Here is an 11,782-nt window from a genome sequence, read left to right on the forward strand (position 1 = left end):
GAACAAAATGCTTCTGGAGAATTGAAAATATATATTTCTGATTTCCTTAATAAAAATTATAACTCTACAGTTACTGTAGTTTCTTATGTTTGCCAATCCTGATATAGCAGCTCACAATGGGAATTTTCTCTATTTTTCTACCACATATGAATATTGAGAAGCTCAAGGTCGTACGTAGGTAACTCTGAAGACCACACATTAGCCTTACTATATTGTGCAGTCACTTTGGCAGAGTTTCATAAATAAAGCAGATAGCATAAGATGGTGCTGGCTTATGGAAACCTAATCAGAACATCTCAGTCTGGGAAACACAGTGGAGACGTGGAAAGTCAGATGCACCATATCCGAACACCAGCCTCACCCATATGTGCTGTGGAATCTCAATCTTGGTGGGCACTAGTTGCCATATCTGGATAGTGAGAAGACTGAAGACCAGCTTGCAAATTGCCATCAGGATTAATTGTGAAAAATATAAGTTGAATGCTTAGCAGCATTCCTGGAATGTGGGTGGCACTCCCATGGAGAAACTGAACAACACCTTGACCAGGTGATGAAAATTAACATCACCACTGAGAAACAGACAGGCACCATATGCCTCGAGATGGGCTGCCCTGAGGGGGACACAGCATCGCCTCTCTAGCATTCTGGCCTAGGATACATAACCCAAATCTAGCCATGAGGAAACATTAGGCACCATTCTATTTAAAAAGTTGGGGGGAGAGGGAAAGTGACTACATTCTTCAAAAATACCAAAGTTATAAGAGACAAGGAAAGGCTATGGCAATGTTCCAGATTAAAGGAGAGTAGAATGACAGAGCAGCAAATGCAATACCTGATCCTAGACGGGTTCTCTATAGGAGCAGGAGAAATGCTGTAAAGGACATTACTGGGACAATTGACAACACTGGAATATGGTTAACAGATTAGAAAAAAAGTTACTGAAGTTGTTATTTGCTTGTTCATTTGTTTGTCTGTTTGAGAGGGAGTCTCGCTCTGTCACCCAGGCTGGAGTATAATGGCTCGACCTCAGCTCACTGCAACCTCCACCTCCCGGGTTCAAGCGATTCTCCTGCTTCAGCCTCCCAAGTAGCTGGGATTACAGGCACACACCATCCCGCCTGGCTAATTTTTGTAGTTTTAGTAGAGACGAGGGTTTAACCATGCTGACCAGGCTGGTCTCGAACTCCTGACCTCAGGCGATCCACCCGCCTCGGCCTCCCAAAGTGCTGGGATTACAGGTGTGAGCCACTGTGCCCGGCCTGAAGTTGTTATTTGAACCAAAGAGTGTGTGAGAATGCTTTTTCTTAGGAAATACTTACCAACGTATTTAGTGATAACTAAATGGATATATAGATATAGATAGATATAGATATAGATATAGATATATAGCACAGAGACAGGGAAAGAGAAAACAAGATAAAGCAAATGAACAAAATGTTAATAAAAGGTGAATGTGGGAAAAGAGTATATGAATATTCCATGTTCTATTCTTATTCTTGCAACTTTCCTGTAAGTTTGAAAGTATTTTCAAATAAAAGGTTTTTAAGTGTCTCTAGTGACAATAAAGACACTTATGAAAGATAAGCATGTAAGGAACTTTCATAAAGTTGTTCCATGAAATATGAATGAAAATAAAGTGATATTTACAAATTAATGATTCTATATATTATTTCAAATATGTATATGTAACTAAATGAGTTAATTAAACATTATGAGTAGATATTGACTATCTCTTTCTCACCTTCAAAGTTTTTATATATAAGTTGGCCAAAACTACGTTTTTCTTTCTCTTTTTGATTCACTGAGAAAATGGAAGGTTCGCCATTATTCCGTTACCATATATTCAGCATGTATAAACCACATGTTACAGTGACATCTTCTGGTGGAGTATAATATTGCAGTCTAGTTCTATTACATCTTCAAATAAACTGTACTAAGGTGGTTCCACAGAAGCATGCAGGAAAGGAGCAAGAAGCAAGCATGGGGGCTCCAAGCTTCACCCTTACTTCAAGCAAAACAGTTCAGTTTTTAACGTGGCTTATGCAGGCCTGGAAGCTGCGACAGTAAGACTTGAGTAACTTATGGTCAAGTACAGGTGGATGAGTAAACCTACCAAGAGTGGGCAAAGGTGTTGAAAAGTGCATTTTTTATAAAAAGAGTCATATCATTACCTGCTCTTTCTGAAAAAAAAGTGTTGATCCTTCAAAAGCATTTGACAAATTAATGCTATGAATGAATGCTTAAACGGTGCATGAGTGAAGATCAGCTTCAGGGACTTCAGGAGCACCATTTATTTAGCACTAACCAAGATGCAAACTACAAATAAGTGAGGAGGACTTCACAAACTCTTTTTACACATCCTCAAAAGACTATTGGGCATCTTGATTGTGCCACACAAGATCTAGCAACAATATTAATTTGAATACATGTCTGGCAAGAAAGGAATAATGTTTTCATCAAGAGGCAACCAGGGATGATGTCACAGAAAATGATGGTATACATTGCTTAAAGAATTGATCCCTCCGTTGAAACAATCATAAGCTGTCAAAGACTGAAATAATCAACGTTTTTAAACACTGAGCTCTAATCTCAAATGTACAGCCACAAAGGGGTGGCTTAATAAAGAAAAGGGAAGCTAGCTTTGGTAAGAAAGCCTAGTGGCATTTTTGCTCATCCACCTTCCTTCCATTCCCTAGCACAGCAGCATCAGCCATGATGACAGAAGGCTGCATTCCCTGTGTGGCTTTCTGGTGCCAGGGGTTAATACAGAGTTTATTCTTAAAGTTTTATGGTACTGTGTATTCATCTGTCTGATGGTTCCCTGGAAGACTAAATTGACCTTTTTCTTGACCTTTTCTTTCCACCTGGTGTAGGGAACTGTGCTCAGGCAACTGGCAGACCAAAAGCCAAAAAGAAGGAGCCCAAAAAGGAAGGTTGTTGGAAGAATAAGAGCTCAGAAGGGCTACTGTGTATGCTGGCAAAGATAGAAGATAACACACAGGCCCAGAACAGGACACATATGAGAAAACATCTAAAAGGACCCCAGGCTTGTACCTCTGACAGATCTGTGGGCTCCAGGCAAGCAAGAGGCAAAAGCTAAGGCATAGTTGCAGGAAGCCTGGCTTAGCACTGAAGGAACTCCTGTCCCAGCTCAGAGCCAAGCTGCAAAAGTCAAAACACGAGTATCTTCTCTCTTTCTTGTTTTCTCGTTTCATTCATGTATTTATTTATTTCTCCCTTTCTTTTTTTCTTTCACTCCAGATACTTAAGGAAATCTCTGGAATGTCACTGTTGACCACTGAGATAATGAAACAGAGACTTCAGTGACCACAAATGACAAAGAATCCAGTCTTTGCAAAATTAGTTTGGAGAAATCACTAAAGAAATAGAGGACAACATTCATCAAGAAGAAAAAATAATAACAAACTCTAGGGAATGGAGATAATCTGATTTCCAGGGTAACCACATTGTAATATTCAAAATGCCCAATTTTCAGCAACAACAACAAAAATCACAAGATATACAAAGGAATAGGAAAGTGTGGCCCAATCCTAGAAAAAAATTATATAAACCATCCATGAGGAAACCTTAGTATTGGACTTACTGGACAAAATTTTTATATCAATCATCCTAAAATGTTTAAAGAACTAAAGAAAACCATGAACAACAAACTAAATAAAACCAGGAAAACAGTGCACATACAAAATGAGAAAATCAATAAACAGATATAAATTATAAAATAAACCAAACAGAAATTCTGGAACTGAAAAGTTAAATCACCGAAATGAAAAATTTGGCGAGGCATGGTGGCTCATGCCTATAATCCTAGCATTTTGGGAAGCCGAGGCAAGTGGATCACCTGAGGTCAGGAATTCAAGACCAACTTGGCCAATATGGTGAAACCCATCTCTACCAATAACACAAAAATTAGCTTGGTGTGGTGGTGCACACCTGTAATCCCAGCTACTCGGGAAGCCAAGGCAGGAGAATCACTTAAACCCAGGAGGCAGAGGTTGCAGTGAGCCAAAATCATGCCACCACACTCCTGCCTGGGTGACAGAGCAAGATTCCATCTCAAAAAAATAAAAAAATAAAAAGAAAAAGAAAAGAGAAAGAAAAATTCACCAGAGGGGTTAAACAGCAGATTTGAACACACCGAAAAATGAATCAGAGAAATCAATGATAGGATAATTGGAATTGTCTGATATAAAGAGTAGAAGAAAAAAAGAGAACAAGACACTATCAAGCAGGACAACATATGCAGTATGGAAGTCCCAGAAGGAAAACAGAAAGAAAGGGGCAGAAAGAACTGTTGATGAAATAATGAATGAAAACTGTCTAAGTTTAATGAAATATATTAAACTCCAAGTAGGATAAATTCAAAGAGATCCACACTTAGACACATTACAATCAAACAGTTCAAAGACAAAGATAAAGAGAAACTCTTGTAGTGGCAAGACAGAAGCAACTCATTATGTACAATAGATTCTCAATAAGATTAACTGTAATTTTCCCATCACAAACCATGGAGAACAGAAAGCAGTGAGACAATATTTTTAAACCACCAAAGAAAAGAAAAAAAAACTGTAAACCAAGATTAAATAACCAGAAAAACTAATCTTGAAAAATGAAGAAGTTAAAACATTCCCAACCATCAAAAGCTGAGTGAATTTGTTACTAGCATATCTACCCTACAGGAAATTCTAAAGGGAGTCCTTTACACTGAAATGGAAGGACACTAAACAGTAACACGAAGCGACATAAAGAAATAGAGAGGTTTCTAAACATCAAAGCCAGTATTACATTTTTTTAATTTGTAACTCCTTCTTTATTCCCTAAATAGTGTAAAAGATAAATGCATACCAAATTGAAATCCATGTAAATGGGCCCACAATGTATAAAGATGTAATTTGCAACACCAACAATTTAAGGTGGGGATGGAGCTGTATAGGAGCAGAGTTTTCATATGTTAGTAAGACTGAGTTGGTATCAGTTGAAACTAGATGGTTATAAATTTAGGATGTTCATTGTAATCCTCATTGTAATCATTAAGAAAATATGTTTTTAAAATACACAAAAGGAAATGAGACAGCAAAATGGTTCACTACCAAAAAAAAATTTAAAAAGAAGTTAGTAATAGAGGAAATGAGGAACAAAAAGTATAAGACATAGAGAAAACAGACAGAAAAATGGCAGAAATAAATCCCATTTTATCAGTTACTACTTTAAATGTAAGCAGTTTAAACTCTCCAATCAAATGGTGAATAGTAACAGAAAGGATTCTTTTAAACATAGTCTAACTGTATATTGTCTAAGATATTTTAGATTCAAATATTTAAAAAGTGAAAGTATAGAAAAGATACTCCATGCAAATAGTAACCAAAAGAGAGCTGGGGTAGCTATGTAAAGATCAGACAATACACACTTCAAGTCAAAAGCTATTACAAGGCCGGGTGTGGTGGCTCACACCTGTAATCCCAGCACTTTGGGAGGCCAAGGCAGGCGGATCACGAGGTCAGGAGATCAAGACCATCTGGCTAACATGGTGAAACCCCATCTCTACTAAAAAAATACAAAAAATTAGCCGGGCGTGGTGGCGGGTGCCTGTAGTCCCAGCTATTCAGGAGGCTGAGGCAGAAGAATGGCGTGAACCCGGGAGGTGGAGCTCGCAGTGAGCCGAGATGGCGCCACTGCACTTCAGCCTGGGCAACAGAGTAAGACTTCGTCTCAAAAAAAAAAAAAAAAAAAAAAAGCTGTTACAAGAGGCTGGACATGGTGGTTCACATATGTAATCCTAGCACTTTGGGAGACTGAGGCAGGAGGATCGCTTGAAGCCAGGAGTTCAAGAGCAGACTGAACAACAAAGCAAGACCCCACCTCTACCAAAAAAAGTTTTTTAATTAGCCAAGCATGGTGGCACACACCTATAGTCCTACCTACTTGGGAGGCGTAGTTGGAGGACTGCTTGAGCCCAGGAGTTGGAGGTCACGGTGAGCTATGATTGCACCACTGCACTCCTGCTTGAGCAACAGAGTGAGACTCTGTCTTAAAAAAAAAAAAGAAAAGCTGTTGCAAGAGACAAAAAGAACACTATGTAGTAATTAAAAGACCATCAGAAGATACAATTACAAACATATACACACTAAGCAACACAGTCCCAAATATGTGAAGCATACATTGACAAAATTAAAGGGAAAAGTAGTTCTATAGCTGGAGACTTCAATACCTCATTCTCAACAACGAATCGAACATATAGTCAAAAGATCAATAAGAAAATAGAGGGTTTGCACAACATCACACACCAACTAGACCTAAGAGACATATATAGAAAACTCCACCCCAAAAAGAGCAGAATACACATTTTTCTCAAGTGTGCATGGGACATTCTTTGGGGTAGACCATATATTAGACCACAAAACAAGTCTCAATAAATTTTAAAAATTAAAATTATGTAAAGTATCTTCTCTAACCACAATGGAATAAAGCTAGAAATCAACATCAGAAGGAAACTGAAAAATTTGCAAATATGTAAACATTACATTTAAATAACCAATGGGTCAAAGAAGAAATCACAAAAAAATTAGAAAATATCTTCCTACAAAGGAAAATAAAAACCCAACATATCTAAATTTATGAGATATAGCAAAAGCAGTAATCAGGGCAAAATTTATAGCTGTCAATGCCTACATTTAAAACAAGAGAAAAAATCTCACATTAATAACCTAACTTTACAACTTAAAAAAACTAGAAAAACAAGAGCAAACTAAATTTAAACCTAGCAGGAAGAAGGAAATAATGAAGATTAGAGTGGAGATTTATGAAATACAAAATAGAAAAATAACAGGAAGAATCACAAAACCAAAACATTGTTCTTTGAAAAGATCAACAAAATGACAAAGTTTTAGCTAGACTGACAAAGAAAAAAAGAGAAAGATGCAAAAACCTGAATCAGAAATGAAAGTGGAAACATTACTACAAACCTGACAGAAATTTAAAGGATTATAAGAAAATACTGTAAACAATTATACACCAACAAATTAGATAACCTAGGTGAAATGAAAAAAATTCCCAGAAACACACAAATTACCAAAACTATCTTAGCCTGCCAGGGCTGACATAACAAAGTACCACAGACTAGGTGGCATAAACAACAGAAACTTATTTTCTCACAGTTCTGTAGGCCAGAAGCCCAAGGTCAACGTGTCAGCAGGTTTAGCTTCTTCGGAGGCCCCTCTCCTTGGCTTCCAGACAGCTGACATTTCACTGTGTGCCCACATGGCCTTTTCCTTGTGTGCACACATCCCTGGTGTCTGTTCCTCTTCTTATTAAGGACACCAGTCATATTGGATTAGGGCACCACATTTTTGGCATTATTTAGTCTTAATTAGCTCTTTAAAGGCCCCATTTCCAAATACAGTTACATTGGGGTTCAGGGTCAATATATTAATTGGGAAAAGGACACAGTTTTGTCCATAGCACTGATTTAAGGAGAAATAGAAAATCTAAACAGATATATAACAAGAGATTAAATTAGTATCAAAAGTCTCCCAACAGAGAAAGGCCCAGGACCAGATGGATTCCCTGGTAAATTATACCAAATGTTTAAATAAAAATTAATGCAATTCTTGTCAAAATCTTCCAAAAAATACAAGAAGAGGGGAGACTTCCTAATGTATTCTATGAGGTCAGAATTAACTTATACCAAAGCCAAAGACACAAAAAGAAAAGAAATTACAGATCAATATTTCTAATGAATAGAGATGCAGAATCCTCAACAAAATACTATATATCCAAATGCAACAACATATGAAAAGGATTGTACATGATGGCCAAGTGGGATTTATCCCGGGAATGCAAAGGTGGTTCAATATATGAAAATTAATCAGCGTAATATGCATTTCTAGAACAAAAGGAAACACAATTATCTCAATGCAGAAATGAGCATTTGATGAAATCTAATACCTTTTATGATTAAGAAATAGTCAGAAAACAAGAATAGAAGTAAACTTTCTCAATCTGGTGAAGAATTTTTATGAAAAACTCACAGCTAACAGCATATCCAAGAGACATATTCTGCAGGCATATTCAAAAAGCTAAAAGATTTCCCCCTTAGATCAGGACCTTCAGATCAAGGATGCCTACTTTCACTATTTATTTAACATTGTACTTGAGATGCCAGCCAGAGCAATTAGGCAAGGAAATTTAAAATATCCAAATTGGAGAGGAAAAGGTAAAACTATCTCTATTCAAAGAATACATGATCCTACATAGTAAATCCCAAACAGTCTACACAGAAAGTACTAGAGCTAATCAACAAAGTTGCAGGGTAAAAGATCAACATGCAAAAATCAGTTATGTATCTATATGTCAGCAATAAATAATCTGTAAGGGAAATTAAGAAGTCAATTCTATTTACAATGACATCAAAAATAATAAAATACCCAGGAATAAATTTAACAAAGGATATGAAAGACTTGTGTACTAAAAACTATAAAACACTGCTGAAAGAAATTTAAAAGACCTAAATAAATGGAAAACTATCTCATCTTTCTGGATTGGAGGACTTAACAATGTTTAGATGACAATACTACTCAAAGTGATCTACAAATTCTATGCAATCCCTGTCAAAGTTAATGGTCTGTTTTTCAGAAATGGAGAAGCCAATTCTCAAATTTGCATGGAATTTTAAGAGGCCATGAAAAGCTAAAACAATCTTGAAAAAGAAGAAGAAACTTGGAGTACTCCGCTTGCCATTTTCAAAACTTACTGCAACGCTACAGTAATCAAAACAGTGTAGTGCTAGTATAAGAATAAACATACAGACCAATAGAATAGAACTGAGAGTCCAGAAATAAACCCACTGTCTATGGACAATTGCTTTTCTACAAGGGCATCAAGAACATTCAAAAGAGAAAGGACAGTCTTTCAACAAATGGTGCTGAGAAAACTGGATATCCACATGCCACATGCAAAAGAATGAAATTGGACCCCCTACCTCATACCATATACAAATATTCACTCAGAATAGATCCATGAACCTAAATACAGTAAAAGAGCTAAAACCACTTTTTCAAATCTTAGGATAAAACATAGGGATAAATATTCATGACCTTGAAACATGTTGGAACTAGATAGAGGTAGTGTTGCATAACATTTTAAATGTACAAAATGCCATTGAATTGCTCAGTGTAAAATGGTTAAATTTATGTTATATGGACCTCCCCTCAATAAAAAAGAAATTAAAGAAATGAACAGGACTGAGAGTCAGATTAAAAGTTCCAATTTCTTTTTTGCAATGTTTGATCTTGTGGCGGAATGCCCTTAACCTCTGTCTCACTGAAAAATTAGAGATGAGAGTTCCTGCTCTGTATATGTTACAGGATTCTTAAAAAGGTCAAAAGAAGTGTTGTACTGAAACAGTCCTTTGATACTGCTAGGTGCTCTGCCAACACAAGCTGCCATGGCGATTCCTGCCCAGTCCTGTCAGTGCCGTGCCAGGCGCCTGGGCTGGTGTGTGCATTTGTAGTTTCATTCTCACAGTGTGGGTGTGGTTACAGAGGGGGAAACTGGGAATTGGAGAGGTGGAAGGACCTGCCTCGTGGCACAGGACTGGAGCTCAGATTTCTAATTCCAGACACACAAAGCTCTTTCCACCACAACCTACTGGCCCCTGCAGCAGACTCTCCCAGCTCTTTGCCTTCAGAGTTGCCTGTTTTAGTGGGAATCCTGTGCAAATGGCAGTAATTATTGAAACTTTTCTAAATAACTCTTCTGTCAGCCTCACTCAATCACTTGGTTTCTATCCCTAATTCAGATGCCACTCCCGGTCAAGACCACACTCTCAACAGCCACCAAAGGGCTTGGAAAGAACAAGAAATACCCGCAGCAGCTGCTCCATTATGAGAGATGGTAGTTTGTGCTGAAGAAAAGCCTCCACATGAGCTGGAAAGCTGGCATGCACAGACCACGATGCCCCCAGTCTCCCACCCCCCCACCACCCCTCCACAGCGGGCTGCATACACTGGAAGAGCGGGTGCATAGGAAGAGGAAATTAATAGGCAGTGTGGAAAGGCAGGGGGGTCCCGGGTGGCCACTGTGCCTCTCTATGAACTAAGAGAGTAATAGTAGCAGCAGGTATTTGCTGTGAGCCTTCCTGTTGCAGGCATGGTCCTTAGGAGAGATTCACTATTCTCATAACAACCATACCAGGTGGGACTGTTTCCCCATATTCAGAAACAATGACTGAGACTCTGGTGATGTCCCCCATTCTTGCAACTGACAGGGTCTGGGGTAGGTGCTGGCAGGGAGCTGGGCAGTGAGGGCAACAGGCACATTCCTGCCTCAAGCAGCTGACAGTCTTGTGGGGTTAGGGGCTGGGGAGACCCTGACCTCCTGCAAAGCGCTTGGTGTTGGTATGTTGCCATGATAGGCCTCAGTAAGAGGCAGCCTGGACAAGAACAACTGCACAGAGAACAGGAGGAGAGGTCAGGGGAGCCGGGCGTGGGGTCCCAGGTGGAGGGAAGGAAAGGCAGGAGAGAGCCTGCCAGGGCCCTGCAGGGTGGCAGGAAGACCCAATCTCACCCCTCACTCAGCTGTGCCCTCTGGAGATGAGGTTCCGGGCTGCCAGCCCAGCAGCCGTCCACCTTTCCCAAGCTCAGAGGCCCAGCTGGGCGCTGGGAGCAGGAGTGTTGTCATGCGTGAGGAAACCTCCAGAGGAGAGCATCAGGCACCCAGCCTGGAGGCTTGTGGGACCTCTCTCCTCCCAGCACCAGGACACCTTTCCATACCTGGGGTTCCAGGCCACACTTAGTGACCTCCTTAGGGAGGTCTGTCTCCCAGCAAGTCTGTCTCTCCAAACTGAAACGTCCCTGTCTGAACAACAGAGAGCACCTCCCGTAGGGCACCAGGGGTGAGTAAGGCAGGCTTTGGGGCAGGCGTGGGGGTGACCCTTCCTGTACACTGAGCACAGTCATAACCCCTCTAATCCTTGTGACACCCTGGGAGGTAGCAACTATTAGACATTTGACAGCCTAGGGAACTGAAGCACAGCAAGGTTATGAAGCCTGTGAGGTCACAGAGCCAATGGGTGTGGGGTTGGAGTTCCACCTGCAGACGCTGGCTCTGAGTGCCCACCGACCCCAAATGAGGGCCCACACCTGCCTATCCCTCCACCTGCCTAGGATCTGGACGGCAGATGCCCCACATCTCCTGGTAGAGGTCAAAGAAACAGACACCCTGATGGAGCTGGGCAGAGGACACTGAAGGCAGGGGCGCCACTGAAGATTCCAAGCAGTGGCAGTTGCAGACATGTCACAGGCGCATGGCAGAAAGCACCAGGCTAACCAGGGAGGGGCTGTCAGCGTCTCCTGAAAAGCAGTAGAGATAAGGAAAGGCACAGCCTGAGGCCCGGAGCTGTGAGCTCCGTCTTCACCTAACGGAGGGCTTTCAGGGCTCATCAGGTCCAGAGAACCATTAGGTGGAGCTGCTGATGTCCGAGACGAGAGGATGGAACGTGGTTTTGCCATATTAGACTCCATGCCTCTGTGATTCATGTGATTTCAATTACTCTCTCTGATCTTACTGAACACTCTTTATACATACAATTCATGTCGTCAAAAATCAATGTGTCTGAAGGTATTGAAGTCTTTTAAAATAAAGTCAATATTTCTCACAGACTCCAGTCCCCCAGTGGATAAGTGGTCAGGCTTCCTCAAAGATCACTTTATGCTTACTAATATCACATCAACCAGATGCAGGGTGACCATATAGGGTGATCCAAAAG

The 11,782-nt window shown here is 40.1% G+C and overlaps 1 annotated feature.

Moving 5' to 3' along the window:
- Positions 10,582-11,082: an enhancer, noted in NCBI's record as "H3K4me1 hESC enhancer chr2:130616037-130616537 (GRCh37/hg19 assembly coordinates)". NCBI's record gives its function as "activates a minimal SCP1, AML or CMV promoter by ChIP-STARR-seq in naive H9 embryonic stem cells {active_cell/tissue: H9 hESC(naive)}" and the evidence as "EXISTENCE:reporter gene assay evidence [ECO:0000049][PMID:30033119]".

This window comes from Homo sapiens, chromosome 2 (genome assembly GCF_000001405.40).
Source record: "Homo sapiens chromosome 2, GRCh38.p14 Primary Assembly".
Classification (NCBI taxonomy): domain Eukaryota; kingdom Metazoa; phylum Chordata; class Mammalia; order Primates; family Hominidae; genus Homo; species Homo sapiens.